The following is a 21597-nucleotide window of genomic DNA, read 5'->3' as shown; positions in this document are numbered from 1 at the left end:
GCCTGTAGTCCCAGCTACTCAGGAGGCTGAGGCAGGAGAATGGCATGAGTCCTGGAGGCGGAGCTTGCAGTGAGCTGAGATCGTGCCACTGCACTCCAGCCTGGGCAACAGAGTGGGACTCCATCTCAAAAAAAAAAGAAAAAAAAAAGGATTACCGCAACTCTTTAATTCAGATCAGCAAACATGTTGAGAGCCAGGTATTGCGTCAGGCAGGATCCAAGGATAATGAAATATTGTCCGTTTTCATGAAACTGGAGATGTTGCAGGGACCGAGGTGTGTGCTATGCCAGTATGGAAGTAGGACAGGGGAGACGACAGGGCAGTGAGTGGTTCAAGACTCTGGCTCTGAAGTCAAACAGATCTGGGACTGAATCCTGGATCTGCCACTTCCTAGTCAGAATCTGAGCCTCTATTTTCTTATCTGTAAAAGAAGATTATAACAGTGCTTATCTTGTAGGTACTGTTGACGATTCAATAAGATAATGTGGATAAAATGCTTAGCATAGTGCCTGGCACATAGTAAGAGCTCGGTAAATCTAAGTTCTTACTAAATATCCAAGAAAAGAGATTAATTCTTTTCAGGAGTGAGAGAAAGTCATCATTATTGAGGGGCTTTATCAGATGGGAACACCTGAATAGGGTTTTATAGGATGAATAGGAATTCTTTCCACGAAGTTGCGTTACAAAAAGTTGCATTCAAGGCTGAAGGAACATGAGGGTGCAGAGGCTTAAAACAGCCTTGTGTGTTCAGGGAGCTATAAGTAGAAGTTCTTAATTTAGGAGAACTAAACCAAGGGGAAAGGAGGCCAAGGAACCACAGTTCTTATCCCTTTTCTGTTAATAATTGGGTTTAAATGTCATTAAAATAAGTTATTTTGTCCTTTTTAGAAAAGTAATAACATGCTATTATAAAAAAAAAGACTTGTAGGAATATAAAATGTGTGTTTTACATGTATCCTGTTAATTGACTTGCTTTTATTCAGATTTTTTGCAGCCCTTTCTGTTTACCAGGTTATCTTGGAGACATATTTATTCCAAATTCCTTTTTTTTTTTTTTTTTGAGATGGAGTCTCGCTCTGTCGCCCAGGCTGGAGTGCAGTGGCGCTATCTTGGCTCATTGCAAGCTCCGCCTCCCGGGTTCACGCCACTCTCCTGCCTCAGCCTCCCGAGTAGCTGGGACTACAGGCGCCCGCCACCACGCCCAGCTAATGTTTTTTTTTTTATATTTTTAGTAGCGACAGGGTTTCACCGTGTTAGCCAGGATGGTCTCAATCTCCTCACATTGTGATCCGCCTGCCTCGGCCTCCCAAAGTGCTGGGATTACAGGCGTGAGCCAGCACGCCTGGCCTTCCAAATTCCTTTTAACAGCCTAGCAAAAGAATAATAAGGAAGGTAAATCTGCCCCTACAAGAAAATAATGCTTCGACGATCCGGCTTTCCTTCCTGCTACCCCCAGCCATAAGAATAAATGACCTTGCTCATCACTGAAATTTTACCTGACCTTTGAATTTTTAACTGCGTCAGCCAAAGAACTTATATTTTGAGTATTCCTAAGGTGATTGCTATTGTAGTTTTGAAACACTTGGTTGGTATGTTTGAGGGTTTCATGGTCCAAAGTTACTATAGCAGTTAAAAGAGTGGACTATCAGGTCAGACCTATTGGGCTTTAATCCCAGTTCTGCCTTCTCTTAGACCTTGGGCCTGTTGTTTTCACTTCTCTGGTTTTCAGTTTCTCTGTCCACAATTGTGGAAACGAGGTCCACTTGTAGAGTAATTGAGAGGATGAAGCAAGATGATGCATATCAAGTACTTTGCATAGTGCCGGGCAGACAGGTAACATTCAAGTGCTAATAATTACTATTATTACTATTTATTTTTTGAGACAGGTTCTCACTCTGTCACCTAGGCTGGAGTGCAGCGGTGAGATCACAGCTCATGACAGCCTTGACCTCCTAGGCTCAAGTGATCCTCCTGCCTCAGCCTTCGGGGTAGCTGGGGCTACAGGTGTGTGCTACCACCCTCAGCTAATTTTCTAATTTTTTTGAGTCAGGATCTCGTCACGTTGCCTAGGCTGAATTACTCTTATTAAAAACTATAATATCAGGCCGAGTGCGGTGGCTCACGCCTGTAATCCCAGCACTTTGGGAGGCCAAGGCGGGTGGATCACCTGAGGTCAGGAGTTCAAGACCAGCCTGCCCAACAGAGTGAGACCCCCCCCGTCTCTACTAAAAATATAAAAATTAGCCAGTTGTGGTGGTGGGCACCTGTAATCCCAGCTACTCGGGAGGCTGAGGCAGGATAATCGCTTGAACCCGGGAGGCGGAGGTTGCGGTGAACCGAGATCGTGCCACTGCACTACAGCCTGGGTGACAGAGTGAGACTCTGTCTCAAAAAAACCGAAAAACAAAAAGCATAATTAGGGTGGTAACGCTTATACATAGGGGCAGGTGGAATAAAACATAATTAGGAGGTCGGGCATGGTGGCTCACGCCTGTAATTCCAGCACTTTGGGAGGCCGAGGCGGGTCAGGAGTTCAAGACCAGCCTGCCCAACATAGTGAGACCCCGTCTCTACTAAAAATATAAAATTTAGCCTGTTGTGGTGGCGGGTGCCTGTAGTCCCAGCTACCCGGGAGGCTGAGGCAGGAGAATTGCTTTTGAACCCAGGAGGTGGGGGTTGCAGTGAGCTGAGATCGCGCCGCTGCACTCCAGCCTGGGAGACAGAGCAAGACTCCGTCACAAAAACAAAAAACAAAAAACTGTCATATCAAAAACTAAACTAAAATGGTAATATCTGTTAGATATTACAAAGTCAGGCAAATTATGATTCATGGCAGCCACTAATGACCCAAAGGAGAGAAAGAATAATTAGCAGATTCTAACCTAATGGGAAAAAAACTAAATGAATAGGGATGGGGGACTTACATTCTGTTAGAGGAAATTGAGGCTGTCATATAAAAGGAATAGGTAAGGCAAACTGTAAATTCCTGTTTACACAAATGCCCTTCTGATAAATCTCTGCATTGCCCACAGTCCATGATTACCTCTCCCTTATTTTAAGTAATATTTAACACATTAAAAATGGATTACCACCCAAGGAATTGCTCCCGACCCAGAAAGTGCAGGTAGTGTTGAAGGTTTGAGGGGAAGAGGAATGATTAGAGTTGGTTGTGTCTCAGGAAGAAGCCAACAGGAGGAACCTTATTTTGAGTCAGGTAAAGAAGGTGGGAGTGAGGAGGCATCCCGGTGGCCAGGTATGAAGCTGGGAGCTGATTGCTGCACATTACTCAGCTGAATTAAATGTGCCCTCACATCTGTGTGTGTGCGTACATGCAAATGTACATGTGTATGAGTTAGTTGGAGGGGTAGACCTTTATTTTCCTGTCCTGTAACTTTCCTTTGCAAACTAATCTGTATTCAGAACAGTGTTGCAGTTAAGAACCACCCAGCTTGTCCATGAAACAGGTTCTCTCACCCCATCTCCCCAGTTTTAGAGAAGGCAGGAAAGAAAAGGCAGTGCTTTTCTTTTTTCCTGGCCGTATGCGGGGCAGGAAGAAGCCAGCAGAGCTTGAAAGAGAAAGTAAACCTTCTGGGAAATAAACGGCTTGGCTTCCCTATTGTGGAGGAGGAGTGCAAATTATTAGGGGGATGTTTGGGTAGTTTTTGTAGAAGCCATTTCTGAAAACTGATTTGGATTAGTGAAGGTAAGCCCAATTTAGGAAAACCCTGCCCAGTCTGGTGTCAGCCACCTGTTTCCCGCTTTGTTTGATTGATTTGATTAGTTTGTGGTATTCTGACCTCTCATTTTTATTACAAGAGTTGGAAGATTTGAGTCTGAACTTGAGCACCTGCTTCGGTGAAAGCTTCCTAAAATGCATGTTTTTTCACATTTTTTCTCATGTTCATTTTGTTTTGCTTTTTAGCAAACACTTTTTCTGACAGAATCTAAAAGCATTAGACTTTTCTTGTTTTCCCCTTCTCTCCCCACAATGTAATCTTGAAAACCCAAATGTTAGCTGTGTAAATTACCTCTCCCGTAAACCAAACAAAGTGCAATATTGCATTGAGTTAGCATTGAAATAGTCGGCCTTTGAATTTTTTTCTACTTGTGGTTTAGACATAATAAATATTTCATCTCAGACTGACTTTCTCGACAAATCAGTTTTGCATTTGGGCCTCTTTTCATCAGTATGTTTAGGGAAAGCACATTTATTGAAACATTAACCAAAATGAAACATAATTAGGAGGCCGGGAGCGATGGCTCACGCCTGTAATCCCAGCACTTTGGGAGACCAAGGCATGTGGATTGCTTGAGGTCAGGAGTTCAAGACCATCCTTGCCGACTTGGTGAAATCCTGTTTCTACTGAAAATACAAAAAACTAGCTGGGTGTGGTGACGCGTGCCTGTAATCCCAGCTACTCTGGAGGCTAAAGCAAGAGAATCGCTTGAACCTGGGAGGCAGAGGTTGCAGTGAGTCGAGATCGTGCCACTGCACTCCAGCCTGGGCAACAGAGACTCCGTCTCAAACAACCAAAAAAACAAAAACAAGCATAATTAGGGTGGTAACGCTTATACATAGGGGCAGGTGGAATAATTGAAGCATTCTGGAGCCAGAAATAATCAACTGATTAAGAATAATCTGGCTGGGTGCGGTGGCTCACGCCTGTAATCCCAGCTACTCAGGAGGCTGAGGCAGGAGAATCGCTTGAACCTGGGAGGTGGAGGTTGCAGTGAGCCGAGATCGCGCCATTGCACTCCAGCCTGGGCTATGGAGCAAGACTCCATCTCAAAAAAAAAAAAAAAAAAAATCCTGTTTCTGCAGAAATATCCCAGGTGTCCTGGGTCAGCAGTGCCCCATAGATTCCACGGACGTTTACCCTAAGTTTTCCAATGGGAGTTCATACCTCTATACCCAGTGAGAATATTTTCTGAGTAATGGGAATGAGATTGGAGATGTAGGGTAGAGAAGATCCATACAGTCTTTGGGTTAAACTTTTTCCTCTTTGCCTAGGAAAGATTAATGCTAATCTTAACCACAGATTTGTAGTAAGAATGTATCAGTTTTGTCATTCAGTTCTAGACTCCAGTTTTCTTTATTGTAATACCAATATTTTAGAGTAAATTTTGAAATGAATCAGTACAAAAGATATGTAGTAAGTGGAAAGTTAGTCCGCACCTTATCCTTGGGACTCTTTCCCAGGGACAGCTAGTTACCTACTATTTATCTCTCCTGAGTTACTTCATATGTATGCATGCAAACATGTTATTCTCTGGGTGTTGTTCCTTCCATATATAGCAGCAAATACACCAAACTCTGTATTTTGCTTTTTGTCACTTTATCTTAGAGAATACTCAATGCAAATACATGTGTATATACCTCATGTTTAAAAAATCTACATAGTAAAATTAGCCAGGCATGGTAGTGTGTGCCTGTAATCCCAGCTACTCGGGAGGCTGTGGTGGGAGAATCACTTGAACCCTGAGATCACACCACTGGACTCCAGCCTGGGCCACAGAGCAAGATTCTGTCTCAAAAAACAAAAACAAAAACAAAAAAACTACAGAGTAGTATTCTAGGCTATGCATATCATAAATTTGATTTCCTAATGATAGGCATAGATGATTTGCCTGGGCGGCAAATTAGCGTTGGCTGTGTCTCAGGAAGAAGCCAACAGGAGGAACCTTATTTTGAGTCAGGTTCCAAAGACAGAAACATTGTCTGACATTTGTTTTTGGGCTTATATGAATAAATCTGTACACATATATTTTTAATGTTTTAATCGTAATATGTATACTATTTGGAAATGTGGCTTTTTAGTTAACAGAGTGCATGTTTTACCCCATTGCACTTAAACATTAACTTGGGGATAATTAAATGAGTCTGTCACTTGGACAGGCAGGAATTGTACCCCCCACAAACCCATAAACCGCCAATTTTTTTTTTTTGAGACAGAGCCTCATTCTGTTGCCCAGGCTGGAGTGCAGTGGTGCGATCTGGGCCCACTGTAAGCTCAGCCTCCCGGGTTCATGCCATTCTCCTGCCTCAGCCTCCCAAGTAGCTGGGACTACAGGCGCCCGTCACAATGCCCGGCTAATTTTTTGTATTTTTAGTAGAGTCGGGGTTTCACCATGTTAGCCAGGATGGTCTCTATCTCCTGACCTTGTGATCCGCCCGCTTTGGCCTCCCAAAGTGCTGGAATTACAGGTGTGAGCCACCGCACCTGGCCGGTTTTTTTTTTTTTTTTTGAGATGGAGTCTTGCTCTGTTGCCAGGCTGGAGTGCAATGGCATGATCTCCGCTCACTGCAACCTCCACCTCCCGGGTTCAAGTGATTCTCCTGCCTCAGCCTCCTGAGTAGCTGGGACTACAGGCGTGTGCCACCACGCACAGCTAATTTTTGTAATTTTAGTAGAGATGGGGTTTCATTAATAATCATTAATATTAGACAACTGTCAGACTCACAGTGGTGGATACAAACTTTCTCAAATTCTGATTTTTACTCTAAAGCTCAAATTTTATCATTGGCAACAAATATTGTCAGTTGCTTTCCCTGAACAGACAGCTTCCCTTCTTTCATTTTTGAGAAAATATCTGCCAGTATCCCAGTTGGTTTATCAATCATTCTTTCTCTTTTTTTTTTTGAGACGGAGTCTCACTCTGTCACCCAGGCTGGAGTGCAGTGGCATGATCTCGGCTCACTGCAACCTCCACCTCCCAGGTTCCAGCAATTCTCCTGCCTCAGCCTCCCGAGTAGCTGGGATTACAGGGGCTAGCAGCCACACCTGGCTAATTTTTGCATTTTTAGTAGAGACAGGGTTTTACCATGTTGGCCAGGCTGATCTTGAACTCCTGACCTCATGATATGCCCACCTTGGCCTCCCAAAGTGCTGGGATTACAGGTGTGAGCCATTGCGCCCGGCTCTATTATTTCTTTTCTTTCTTTCTTTTTCTTTTTTTTTTTTGAGATGGAGTTTCGCTCTTGTTGCCCAGGCTGGAGTGCAATGGCGCGATCTCGGCTCACCACAACCTCCGCCTCCCGAATTCAAGTGATTCTCTTGCCTAAGCCTCCCGAGTAGCTGGGATTACAGGCATGTGCCACCACACCCGTCTAGTTTTGTATTTTTATTAGAGATGGGGGTTTCTCCATGTTGGTCAGGCTGGTCTCGAACTCCCAACCTCAGGAGATCTGCCTGCCTCAGCCTCCCAAAGTACTGGGATTACAGTTTTGAGCCACCTGACCCGGTTTGCTTATTATTTCTTTTAAATTTAAAAAATAATAAATAAAGGGGCCATGAGAGCGAAGAGTTTGAGAAAGGTTGGTCTAAAGGTTTTAACATAAGAATCCCTGGGTTATTTGCTTAAAAAGAAGAAAGAATCTATGGATCTGCCTGAGAGGGTCTGATGTAGTTTATCTGGGGTCATCCTCACAGGCATAGCAGATATTCTGATTCAGATGGTCCTTGGTCCTTAGTTTGAGAAATGTGGCTTTACAAGGCCCATAGAATATAAAGTCTTCTTTGGATTAGTGAAGTCATGTCCACAGGGTTTAGAAAATGTTTTTGTTTTAGAGATAAAGGTAAGTGGAAGAGTAGACATGTAGTGAATGAGGGAAAATGTTTTAGAGATTTCTTTTTATTCTGTTTACTCTTCTTGGTATGCACGTACCTGAATATTAAGGATATTTTATGAAGTCATGACATTACCAGATTAATGTTGGTTTTGTTTTAAGGTACTTTCTGACTGCTGGGGTTAATTCCTACAGACGATTCTGGTAAAGAATAGCCTTTAAGTTTTAAAAGTGTTGACTTATTTCAGATGTCTTAATAAAGTTAACTTCCAGTTATTACATGTAACGTATATAAAGCTCTCATTTTCCTTTATTCTCGTTAATTGTTTGCATAACAAATTCAAAGGGAAATTTGCTTGGCAGAGATCAGATAGCAGAGATGAGATTTAAAAACAGGTAATTTGGCTACTAGCCTGGGAGTTTGAAGATTCCAAGTTTGCATCCATGTGTAGTCACTTAACATTTCTGTCCTTATCTGTAAATGGGAATAACACCTACTTGATAGGGTTGTTACATTATCTTGGCCACCTCAGGTTCTCTTTGGCTGAGTGATTGACTGGAAAACGCAATGTGAATTCATGCTTCAGACTGGGTTCTTTTTTTTTTTTTTTTTTGAGATGGAGTTTCACTCTTATTGCCCAGGCTGGAGTGCAATGGCACGATCTCAGCTCACTGCAACCTCTGCCTCCCAGGTTCAAGCGATTCTCCTGCCTCAGGCTCCCGAGTAGCTGGGATTACAGGCATGCACCACCATGCCTGGCTAATTTTTTTGTATTTTTAGTAGAGACGGGGTTTCACTGTGTTGGTCAGACTGGTTTCAAACTCCTGACCTCAGGTGATCCACCTGCTTCAGTCTCCCAAAGTGCTGGGATTACAGGCATGAGCCACCGCACCCAGCCCAGGCTAGGTTCTATATGGGTGTGCTTTTTAGAATTTAGATCATGGGCTATCCCCAACACAAACTGGATAATGTTTCTTTCTAGATTCTCTCTAAGCGTGTATTCTCTTTCTTTCCTAGGCACAGCCACCACTTCACTTACATTGTGGGATTATAATTTCATGAGTAGTGGAATTTCCTTAACCTTCTCTTGTGTGGGAGCTGAAGGACAAAATGAGATATTCTCTGAAGAGTGGTTACATCATGCAAAACTATGATGTGTAATGAGGTCACTTAGTTTTCTAAGTACATTATACATTTTGATAAGATTTTCATAGAAAAGCTTGTCTCCTTGGGGAGATCACTCATCTTCCATCTTGACTATTATTTAAACTTTATGGGTCAGATTTATCTTTTTAAAAACTTAACCATAAAGCTCAATTAATTTTTTTTTTTTTTTTTTGAGACGGAGTCTCGCTCTGTTGCCCAGGCTGGAGTGTAGTGGCGCGATCTCGGCTCACTGCAAGCTCTGCCTCCCAGGTTCATGCCATTCTCCTGCCTCAGCCTCCTGACTAGATGGGACTACAGGCGCCCGCCACGATGCCCGGCTAATTTTTTGTATTTTTAGTAGAGACGGGGTTTCACCGTGTTAGGATGGTCTCGATCTCCTGACCTCGTGATCCACCCGCCTCGGCCTCCCAAAGTGCTGGGATTACAAGCGTGAGCCACCGCGCCCGGCTCAATTAATATATTTTAAAAATTAATAGACTTTATTATTTTTATTTTATTTTATTTTTGAGGCAGAGTCTCGCTCTGTCACCCAGGCTGAGTGCAGTGGTGTGATCTTGGCTCACTGCAAACTCCACCTCCCGGGCTCAAGTGATTCTCCTGCCTCAGCCTCCTAAGTAGCTAGGATTACAGGTGCCTGCCACCATACCCGGCTAGTTTTTGTAATTTTAGTAGATACGTGTTTTCTTTCTTTTCTTTTCTTTTTTTTGAGATGGAGTTTCACTCTTTTTGCCCAGGCTGGAGTGCAATGGCATGATCTCGGCTCACTGCAACCTCCGCCTCCCAGGTTCAAGTGATTCTCCTGCCTCAGCCTCCCAAGTAGCTGAGATTATAGTTGTCTGCCACCACGCCTGGCTAATTTTTTGTATGTTTGATAGAGACAGGGTTTCACTATGTTAGCCAGGATGTCTCGATCTCTTGACCTCGTGATCCGCCTGCCTTGGCCTCCCAAAGTGCTGGGATTACAGGCGTGAGCCACTGCGGCCAGTCTAGACTTTATTTTTTAAAGCAGTGTTAGTTTTACAGAAAAATTATGTGGAAAGTACAGAGAGTTTCCATATACCCCTTACTTTCTCCCACAACTTCTATTATTAACATCTTGCATTAGTATAGTACGTCCCTTACAACTAATGAACCAACTCGATACATTATTATTAACCAAATTCCTGAGTTTATTTTATTTCTATTTTTATTTTATTATTATTATTTTTTAGAGGTAGGGTCTCACTGTGTTGTCCAGGCCAGGTTGCAGTGGCATCATCATAGCTTGCTATAGCCTGAAACTCCTGGGCTCAAGCAATCCTCCTGCCTCAGTCTCCCAAAGTGTTGGAATTACAGGTGTGAGCCACTCTGTCCAGCCTGAAGTCCATAGTTTACATTACATTTCACTCTGTTGAGCATTCTATGGATTTTGACAAATGTGTGATGATGTATATTTGCCAGTACACAATTATATAAAATAGTTTTACTGCCCTAGAAACCCCCTGTGCTCCACCTATTCATTCCTCTGCTGAACCACTGGCAACCACTGATCTTTTATAATATCTCCATAGTTTTGTCTTTTCCAGAATGTCATATAGTTGGACATACAGTGTGTAGCCTTTTCAGATTGGCTTCTTTCAGTAAATGATATGCATTTCAGGTTTCTTCATGTTTTTTTGTGGCTTGATAGGTTGTTTCTTTTCATTGGTGAGTAATACTCTATTGTATGGATATACCACATGTTGTTTATCAAACATTCACCTGAAGGATAGACATCTTGGTTGCTTCCAAGTTTGAGCAGTTATGAATAAAGCTGCTATAAACATTCCAGTGCAGGACTTTTCACCTCCTCTGGATAAATATCAAGGAGTGCAATTGCTAGATCATATGGTAAGAGTATGTTTAGTTTTGTAAGAAGCTATCAAACTATATTCAAAGTGACTGTACCATTATACATTCCCATCAGCAGTGAGTGAGAGTTCCTGTTACTCCACATCTTCACCAGCATTTAGTGGTGTCAGTGTTTTGGATTTTAGCCATTTTAATGGGTGTATAATGGTATACCTATTAAAATTGGTTTTTTTTGGAGACAGAGTTTCACAGTTTCACTCTTGTTGCCCTGGCTGGAGTGCAATGGCGCAATCTCGGCTCACTGCAGCCTCCGCCTCCCAGTTTCAAGTGATTCTCCTGCCTCAGCCTCCCAAGTAGCTGGGATTACAGGTGCACGCCACCATGTTCTGCTAATTTTTTTGTATTTTAGTAGAGATGGGGTTTCACTGTGTTACCCAGGCTGGTCTTGAACTCCTGAGCTCAGGTAATCCACCTGCCTCAGCTTCCCAAAGTGTTAGGATTACAGGCATGAGCCACCGCACCTGGCCTCAATTTTTTTTTTTTTTTTTTTGAGACAGAGTTTTGCTCCTGTTGACCAGGCTGGAGTGCAGTGGCACAATCTCGGCTCACTGCAACCTCCGCCTCCTGAGTTCAAGCGATTCTCCTGCCACAGCCTCCTGAGTAGCTGGGATTATAGGCGCCCGCCACTACGCCTGGCTAATTTTTTTTTTTTTTTTAATTAGAGACGAGGTTTCTCCATGTTGGTCAGGCTGGTCTTGAACTCCCCGTTCTCAGGTGATCCGCCTGCCTCAGCCTCCCAAAGTGCTGAGATTACAGGTGTGAGCCACCGTGCCCCGCCTGTTTTGGCTTTTACTGTGAAGACGTGTTAGCCGCTGTGATGACTAGCAAGTGTGGCCCTCCACCCAGTCGCTCTGGGCTCCCAGCTCCTGCATCCTGCTGCAAACTTGACATCTTCCCTCAAGTAACTTGTAGTTGTCTCCTGTCTACTTGCCCAAAATATAACTCTTAAACTTTTCTCTCTGCAAGTTTGTGCCTCTCTCCCTGTCTGACTTCCCCATCTAAATAAATGGTAGACCACCATCTACTCCTTTGTGCAAGCCAGAAATCTAGGAATCATCCTTAAATTCCCTGTTCTGTCTTATCTCTGCTTTCATTCAAAGCATCAGCAAATCCTGTTGGTTCTACCTCTGAAGTTTTCTCAAATACTGTTACTTGACTCATCCTGACTTTTGTTTCTGCTTTATGTTAGGCTAAATGCCCTGAAAACTCTTTTGTACAAAACACCTAGAAATACTGGATAAACTGGGCTTAACAGGGAGGCCCGGTGTGGTGGCTCACGCCTGTAATCCCAGAACTTTGGGAGGCCAAGGTGGGTGGATCACCTGAGGTCAGGAGTTCCAGACCAGCCTGGCCAATACGTAGTGAAACCCCACCTCTACTAAAAAAAAAAAAAAAAATTAGCTGGGTGTTGTGGTGCACACCTGTAGGTGGTGCATGCTTGAACTTGGGAGGCGGAGGTTGCAGCGAGCTGAGATCGCGCCACTGCACTTCAGCCTGGGTGACAGAGCAGGATTCTGTCTCTTAAAAAAAAAAACAAAAAAAGAAAAACAGGAAAATCTTCAGAAGCAAAAACCAAACAATCTCACCAAAGAAATGAGAAGATGGCTGGGCGCGGTGGCTCACGCCTGTAATCCCAGCACTTTGGGAGGCCGAGGCGGGCAGATCACCCGAGATGGGCAGATCACCCGAGGTCAGGAATTCGAGACCAGCCTGGCCAATATGGTGAAACCCCGTCTCTGCTAAAAATACAAAAATTAGCCAGGTGTGGTGGCAGGCGCCTGTAATCCCAGCTACTCAGGAGGCTGAGGCAGGAGAATCGCTTGAACCTGGGAGGCGGAGGTTGCAGTGAGCCGAGATCATGCCACTGTACTCTAGCCTGGACGACAGAGCAAGACTCTGTCTCAAAAAAAAAAAAGGCTGGGTGTGGTGGCTCATGCCTATAATCCTAGCACTTTGGGAGGCCAAGGTGGGCGGATCACTTGAGGCCAGGTGAACATGGCGAAACCCCATCTCTACTAAAAATACTAAAGTTAGCTGGGCATGGTGGTGGGTGCCTGTAATCCCAGCTACTCGGGAGGCGAGGCAGGAGAATCGCTTGAACCAGGAGGTGGAGGTTACAGTGAACCGAGATCTCGCCACCGCACTCTAGTCTGGGCGACAGAGCAAGACTCCGTCTCAAAAAACAACAACAAAAAACCAACACATGGCCAAAGTGCAGTGACTTACATCTGTATAATCCCAATGTTTTGGGAGGCTGAGGCAGGAGGATCGCTTGAGTCCAGGAATTTGAGACCAGCCTGGGCAACATAGACCTCATCACCAAAAAAAAAATATTTTTTAATTAGCTGGGTTTGGCAGCATGTACCTGTAGTCCTAGCTACTCAGGAGGCTGAGGTGGGAGGATCACTTAGGCCCAGGAGTTTGATAGTTCGAGGTTATAGTGAGCTATGATCCTGCCACTGCACTCCAGCCTGGGCCACAGAGTGAGACCCTGTCTCTTAGAAACAAAACAAAACAAAAAAAAGAAACTGAATTAAAAACAACAAGAACAAAAATGCTGCTTTTTGTTATTGAGTTGTAGCCCAAGTTTCTTGAGGGTAAAGCATTGAAAAGCAGGCAGTAATAGATTTGCTGTTTAAAGAGATTTACTTGCAGCACTATTCACAATAGCAAAGACATGGAATCAACCTAAATGCCCATCAGTGACAAATTGGATAAAGAAAATGTGGTACATACACTGTGGAATACTATGCAGCCATAAAAAACAACGAGATCATGTTTTTGTTTGTTTGTTTGTTTGTTTGTTTTTGAGATGGAGTCTTGCTCTATTGCCCAGGCTGGAATGCAGGTGGCACGATTTCAGCTCACTGCAACCTCCGCCTCCCAGGTTCAAGCAATTCTCTGCCTCAGCCTCCCGAGTAGCTGGGATTACAGGTGCCCTCCACCATGCCTGGCTAATTTTTGTATTTCTAGTAGAGATGGGGTTTCACCGTGTTGGGCAGGCTGTTCTTGAACTCCTGACCTCATGATCCTCCCACCTCGGCCTCCCAAAGTGCCGGGATTACGTGTGAGCCACCGTGCTCGGCTGAGATCATGTTTTTGCAGGAACATGGATGGAGCTGGAGGCTATTATCCTTAGCAAAGTAATGCAGGAACAGAAAACCGAAGACCACGTGTTCTCACTTATAAGTGGGAGCTAAATGATAAGGACTTGTGAACACAAAGAAGGAAACCACAGATACTGGGGTTTACTTGAGGGTGGAGAGTGGGAGGAGGGAGAGGAACAGAAAAGATAACTATTGGGTATTGGGCTTAATACTTAATATTTTATCAAAATAAGCTGTACAACAAACCCCTCTGACATGAGTTTACCTATATAACAAACTTGCACGTGTAACCCCAAACCTAAAATAAAAGTTAAAAAAAAAAAAAAAGGCTGGTTGCATTGGGAGGCTGAGGCAGGCAGAGCACTTGAGGCCAGGAATTCGAGACCAGCTTGGCTAACGTGGAGAAACCCTGTCTCTACTAAAAATTCAAAAATTAGCCAGGTGTGGTGGTGCATGCCTGCAGTCCCAGCTACCAGGGAGGCTGAGGCAGGAGAATTGCTTGAACTCAGGAGGCAGAGGTTGCAGTGAGCTGAGATTGCACCACTGCATTCCAGCCTGGGCGACAGGGCGAGACCTTGTCTCAAAAAACAAAACAAAACAAAACAAAAACCTGTCACTTTGGGAATATCTCAAACCTAGTCATCCAAGTGGTTGTACGATTTTAGTGTCTGCATATCAATATTTAGTGTGATCTACTTTCTTAGATTCTCAAATACTGCCAATGGGCACATGTCATGAAATAATGTCTTTTAGAGGACAAGAGAGTGCTAAAGTCTCATTATTGCAGTTTAAGAAAAACAATTCTGTAACAGTTTAACTTTATAGGAAATGCCTTTTGTTTATTTATTTTTTTTCTTTTGAGGCTTAGATTTTTATTTTTATGTTTTTAGAGATGGGGTCTTCCTATGTTACCCAGGCTGGCCTTGAATTCCTGGGCTCAAGTGATCTTCCTGCTTCAGCCTCCTGAGTAGCTGGGACTAGACGTCCACTACTGCTCCTGGCTGGAAGTTTAGATTTTAATTTAAACTCTTCTATTGGGAAACTTTGTATGTTTGCTTTACCACTTAACATTTGCATGCATTATTGTACCTATTGTCTCCTACTTAAGGAAGGGCAGTTTATGCTGTTATATGAAGTGAATTAACCTCCTATGGTACTTCAGTTTTCTCTATGCTAAAAGTGTGTTCTAGATTTTTGAAAAACTTACTTAATTTTCATTCATTTATTCAAATATTTGAGCATTCTGTAGTTGCTGGGGAAATAGCAGTGAACTGAAGAATGTCTTTGTTCTTATGGGGCTTAAGTTCCTAGTTGATCATATTGGAAGGAGATACATGAAAAAAGAAATATATGAACAATGGAGGGCGATGAGTACTGTAAAGGAGAATTCAGCAGGGGAGATGTTGCTGTTTTAGATAGAGGGGTGTCAAGAGACATTGTGCAGAGACCTGAACGAAGTGAGGGAGCAAGCCATGGAGATATCTAGGGAAAGAGCCTATCAGGTGGAGAGAAGAGTCCTAGGGCAGAAACGGGCAAGGTGTGTTCCAGGAGCAGAGAGGGGACAGCTGTGAGCAAGGGGAGAGTTGTAGGGAAGGAGGCAAAGAGAGACATCTGGGGCAAAATGGATTGACTGGTGGGCCGTGGTAGGACTTTGGATTTTTTCCTGAGTGGGTTTTGAGCAGGGGAATGAAATGATCTGACTCTGGTTTTTTTTTTTTTTGGAGACAAAATCTTGCTCTGTTGCCGAGGCTGAAGTGCAGTGGCGCAATCTCGGCTCATTGCAACATCTACTTCCTGGGTTCAAGCTATGCTCCTGCCTCAGCCTCCCGAGTAGCTAGGATTACAGGCTTGGGCCACCATGCCGGCGAATTTCTGTTTTTATTTTTATTTTTTATTTATTTTTATGTTTATGTTTTTTGAGACGGAGTCTCGCTGTGTCACCCAGGCTGGAGTGCAGTGGCGCGATCTCAGCTCACTGCAACCTCTGCCTCCCCGGTTCAAGCAACTTCTCCTGCCTCAGCCTCCCGAGTAGCTGAGATTACAGGCGCCTGCCACTACACCTGGCTAATTTTTGTATTTTTAGTAGAAACGGGATTTCACCTTGTTGGCCAGGCTGGTCTCGAACTCCTGACCTTAATTTATCTGCTCGCCTTGGCCTCCCAAAGTGCTGGGATGACAGGTTTGAGCCACCGTGCCAGCCAGGACTCTTATTTTGAAAGGATCTGTAATGTGGAGAATAGAAGGTAGAGGGACAAGGATGAAAGCATCCAGGCCAGTTAGCCTAGTCCAGCTATCTAGGTAAGAGATGCTGGTGGCCTGGATTAAGGCTGCGTCAGTGGGAGGTTGTGAGAAAGGCTCACCTTCCTTTTTTTTTTTTTTTTTTTTTTTTGAGACAGGATCTTACTCTGTCTCCCAGGCTGGAGTGCAGTGGTGCAATCTCAGCTTACTACAACCTCCGCCTCCTGGGCTCAAGTGATACCCCCACCTCAGCCTCCCAAGTAGCTGGGATCACAGGCTTGCGCCACTATATCCGGCTAATTTTTGTATATTTCGTAGAGACAGGGTTTTGCCATGTTGCCTAGGCTGGTCTCAAACTCCTGAGCTCAAGTGATCCACCCGCCTCAGCCTCCTAAAGTGCTGGGATTATAGGCCTGAGCCATTGTGCCCGGTCACTTCCAGATTTTGAAGACAGAGCCAACAGGATTTGTTAATGGATTAGGTGTGGCAGGAGGAGGGGGAGGAAGAGAGAGAGAGACTGGAGTTGAAGTTAAGGCTCATTTCAAGGTTTTTAGCCTCAACATGTGCAGGAATGGAGTTGTCACTTGCTAGAATGGGGGAGACTGGAGGAGAAGCCGGCTGGGAGAGGTTTTTAATGAAGGGGTTGGCTTTGGATACATTAAGTTTGACATGCATTTTAGACATCCAGGTGGAGATATTGAAGAGGCAGTTGGCTATAAGTGTCTGATGTTCATATTAGCGGATGGGGCTAGAGACATAAATTTGAGAATTGTCAGTGTATAAACGTTGTTTTGAAAGAAAGTGGGGCTGAATAATTTAGAAAGGAGTGCATAGAGAAAATAAGTTTACTATTAAAATAGCTTTAACAGGCCGGGCACGGTGGCTCATGCCTGTAATCCCAGCACTTTGGGAGGCTGGGGTGGGCAGATCAAAAGGTCAGGAGTTTGAGACCAGCCTGGCCAATATGGTGAAACCCTGTCTCTACTGAAAATACAAAAATTAGCCAGGCGTTGTACCGGGCACCTGTAGTCCCAGCTACTTGGGAGGTTGAGGCAGGAGAATCACTTCAACCCGGGAGGTGGAGGTTGCAGTGAGCCAAGATCACGCCACTGCACTCCATCCTGGGCAACAGAGCAAGACTCCGTCTCAAAAAAAAAAACAAAAAAAAACAAAAAAAAAAAACTTTAACAGCAAAGCCTCTTCCTTTAAAATTATGAATTTTTTTCTTATGGAAGTTGGACTCTTTCATTATTAAGTCTACATTCAATCACTATGTTAGTAAAAATGTTGTTCTAGTTGCCGAATGCAATAAACCAGCTCAGACTTAGTGGCCTAAAGCAGCAATCATTTGACTATGTTCGAAGATGCCGTGGGCAGGAATTTAGATAACAGCAGGGATGGCTTGTCTTTGCTCTGCGATGTCTGAGGTCTCACTGAGAAAACTCAAGCGGCTGGGGGTAATAATCATCTGGAATTTTCTTTACTCCTGTATCTGATGTCTGGGCTGCGATGACTCAAAGGCTGATTTCAGCTGAGACTGTAGACCACGTGCCTACTTGTGGCCTCCCCTTTTGCCTTGGGTTTCTCACAGAATGTGGCTGGTTCTGGAGAATGAGACTTCCAATGAAATCAGGTGGAAATGACATCTCGCCGCTTTCAGCATGCTCTATTGGTTGGAACAGTTATGGACTTAGCTAGATTCAAAGGAAGGGAACAAAGACCCCCTCCTCTCAGAGAGTGGGGCATAATGAGAGAATTTAGGGCCATGTTATCCAACCACCACAAATGCCTTCTGAATTTGAGGTTCTGCCTCAAAAGTTCATAGTTCCTTTGACTGAAGGACTTCTATATATCCAAGCATCGTCAGCCCCAGGTATATTGTTCCATGTAAGTGACCAGGACTACCTTAGTATTTCGTATAGGGAAAGTGACCTGAATAAATTTGAGAAAAGAATCTTCCTTCTCTCCAGTAAGCACTGAGGTAAGCATTGAGCCATATTATAGGTTTATGACTTTGAGACTCAGAAATTTAAATTCTTGGCCAGGCGCAGTGGCTCACGCCTGTAACCCCAACACTTTGGGAGGCCAAGGCAGGCAGATCACTTGAGGTCAGGAGTTTGAGACCAACCTGGCCAAAATGGTGAAACTCCATCTCTACGAAAAATACAAAAATTAGCCAGGTGTGGTGGCGGGCACCTGTAATCCCAGCTACTTGGGAGGCTGAGGTAAGAGAATGGCTTAAGTTCTCTTTATCTGCTTTATTTCAGTTGCCTCTCTTAGATGAATATTAATGACTTACATAGCATTTTAGATCAGTGGATGTTTTTGTGATTCTTTTATTTGAGCTTTGGCCAAAGATAACAGTACCCACAGGTTTTTTCCAGCTACTCGCTCTTCTCCCTTCAGTGGCCCTCGAGCCTGGAAAATCTGACATGACAATGTGCTTGCTCAACCTACCACTGTTTTTCTTTTGAAAAGTTTGGCAGCCTGTTTCTGACTCCTATGAAGGTGAATTCCTCAGCATTCACAGTTTATTAGAAAAATACTTTGCTTCTCTCCAAACTCGAAATTCAAGATAACCAAACCTATATATAGGCTGATCTTTCAGGATGCAGTTGTCATGTTGATGCCATGCTTTTCAGTATCGTGGCCATCATCTGTTCAGTAGGGGAGGTGTACTTCTGTAATGGGAGGTGGTGGTTATGTGTGTGTGCAAGTGTTTATTTGGTGTCTTAAGTTAGCCTGTGGGAAGTTCTAAATCAGGATGGTACGTGGTTGCCAGCAGAGAGCTGCTCCTCAAGTGAAGGAGGTAGAATCAAAGCCAATAGGAAAGAGCCTCAGATGCTTATATATGTACCGTGGGGATTCAGAGTGAAAGCAGTCATTGGACTAGGGGTGGGGTTAGGGAGAGCCTGTCTGACAGACACAAGAAAGGGATGGATAACGCCACCCAGAGAAAAAAGCATTTTAGGCAAGAACAAATATGAAAAAGGAACAAAGTCTGTGGGTGGGGGGCAAGGAGGAGATAAGTTGACTTGAAGGAAGACAACACTTATGAAAGTCACCTGGAGGCTGGGTGCCATGGCTCATGCCTATAATCGCAGCACTTTGGGAGGCCGAGGTAGGAGGACAACTTGAGCCCAGGAGTTCGAGACCATCCTGGGCAACATGGTGAGACTGAGTCTCTACCAAAAAAAAAAAAAAAAGAAAATTATCCAGACATGGTGGCATGTGCCTGTAATCCCAGTTACTCAGGAGGCTGAGGTGGGAGGGTTGCTTGAGCCCAGGAGGTTGAGGCTGCAGTGAGCTGTGATCGTATTATTGCACTCCAGCCTGGGTAACAGAGCAAGACCCTGTCTCAAAAAATGAAAGTCATCTGTAGGCTGGAGAGAGGAACTGGAAGGGGCTAAAGTTGGCTGAGTAGTTACAGAGCCTGAGATAAGGGTAAAGATTTTGCATTGGACAATGAGATGTTAGTGTGTGTTTTTGAGCTGGGGAGTGCTGTGATTTTACTCTTATTGAAGAATCACTGAAGGATTATTCTTGAATCAGTGATTCTTGATCATTCTTGAATTTTTCAAACAGCAAAACTGGAAGAGTTGGCCTATTCCTCAGAATATTTTCTAATTGGGCGCAGTGTCCTCACTTGGGAGAACCTGGCTACACACTTTAGTTGTAATTCACTCCAGTCGTTCATTCATTCAATACCTATTTTTTCAGCACCTATTATGAGCCAGACACTATGCTGGATGCCAGGGTTCAGGGTAGGACACGCTAGTGAGCAAAAGCCAAGACTCTTCTTGTCTTCATGGGGCTTTCAGTCCAGCATAGTGGTTATGAGTCCAAGTTAATGGAGTCACAGTACTTGGGTGCAAGTCATGGTGATGGTGATAGAAGGAAGGCATGTGTGAGGGCCAGTGGCAGGCAGGAGCCTGGTGTTTTTGAGGACCTGAAGAAGGAGCAGAGTGAGTGCCAGGAACTTAGCCACCAGCTGGTACCAGCCATACGAGAGGGGCAGAGCCAGCCAGGATGTCGGTCATGCTAGTAATGAGTACAAACACTTACATGCTGCACGCTATTGGGCTCCTGAGTGCTACGTGTTCATTAGCTCGATGAATTTGTACAGCAACCCTGTGAGGTAAGCACTGTTCTCTCCCCTTTCTATAGATGAGGAAATTAAGGCACAAAGAGGATAAATAACTGGCACCAGCTACACGCTAAGTGATCGAAGTGGTGGAACCAGGATTCAAATCCATGCTATTCTGCCTTAAGATAACAAATCTTGTTTTTTAGCCTAAGAACAGAGCAGTCATCAGGAGGGTTTTAAGTAGGGGTGTGGCAAGATCAAGTTTGTGTCTTGAAAAGGTCTCTCTACCCACAGTGTGGAAAATGGCCTGGAGGCAAGCACACAGATGTTGGGAGACAGTTAACAGCTCTTGCCATGGCCCCCTATGCATTTTGGCTCTGATGTTTCTGCCTGATTTTTCTCTTGCCTCTGCCTCTTTTCCTGAGGGGATGGCAGGTTTTACCATTCAGCTGGAGTACAAACCCTGAACCCTTTTTGGTTAAATATCTACTTGCTTTTCCTACAGTATTATTTTGAGTTGCTGTGGCTGTAATGTCTTGAGGGAATCGAGCTTGACAGTAATTTATAGAACAAACAGTTTTTAGAGACTGTGTGGCCCAATTGCCCTCTCAATGTTGGCACTCCTGCCATGACATTTACCATGCTGAGCATGTGACCGCCATCTGAATACCAAATGCCACAGGAACCTGGGAGGTTGTCACTTACTCCTCCCTTTCTCTGAGTCACCTTTGCCCTTCAGTCAGTCACCAAGTCCCATCACATGTAGCTCTGTAATGTCACAGAAGATGGATGTCTGCCTCAAAACACTTACAATGCTGCTACCTAAATTGGGCAGCCACGACCTCCCACCAGGATTATTGCAGCCTGAGGGATCTTTTTGAAATGTAAATCAAACTATCACTTGTCTGTTTAAAGCTTTTCAAAGACTTACCCCATTGCCCTTGGAAGAAAGTGCAGATATCTTGACAGGAGAGCCTTCTCCAGCCTCCTCTTCTGCCGTGGTCTCCTTGTACAGTCTCTACAGTGTACTGCTTCATTAGAACCCTGGAGATTATTATTTGCTAGTTCTGGGCTAAGAACTGGCACCTGGCTTTGTAGAGCTCCTCAGGAGATTCTGAGGCGTATTCAGAGTTGAGCCCTGATCTCTGCTCTGATTTCGAGGTTCTCGTTATATTTATTAATGATCACGAAAAAATTTATTATTATTCTTTGGCCTCACTTTAGCATCATCTGAGGAATTTTTTTTTTTTTTTGACAGAGTTTTGCTCTTGTTGCCCAGGCTGGAGTGCAATGGCGTGATCTCAGCTCACTGCAACCTCCGCCTCCCGGGTTCAAGAGATTCTCCTGCCTCAGCCTCCCAAGTAGCTGAAATTACAGGCATCCACCACCATGCCTGCTAATGTTTTTGTATTTTTTAGTAGAGGTGGGCTTTCACAGTGTTGGTCAGGCTGGTTTTGAACTCCTGACGTCAGCTGATCCACCCACCTAGGCCCCCCAGAGTGCTGGGATTACAGGTGTGAGCCACCGTGCCCAGCCGTAG

The 21597-nt window shown here is 44.3% G+C and overlaps 1 protein-coding gene across 23 annotated transcripts in view; it reads left to right on the top strand.

Annotated features, from left to right (window-relative positions):
• STAT3 (signal transducer and activator of transcription 3) overlaps positions 1-21597 on the top strand; it is a 75119-nt gene that overhangs the window by 5651 nt on the left and 47871 nt on the right. The gene's annotated exons all lie outside the window — the stretch shown is intronic.

The sequence above is a fragment of the Homo sapiens genome, chromosome 17 (assembly GCF_000001405.40).
Source record: "Homo sapiens chromosome 17, GRCh38.p14 Primary Assembly".
Taxonomy (NCBI): domain Eukaryota; kingdom Metazoa; phylum Chordata; class Mammalia; order Primates; family Hominidae; genus Homo; species Homo sapiens.
The sequence above is the reverse complement of the archived record's forward strand: the minus strand, read 5'-3'. Positions and strand labels throughout refer to the sequence as shown.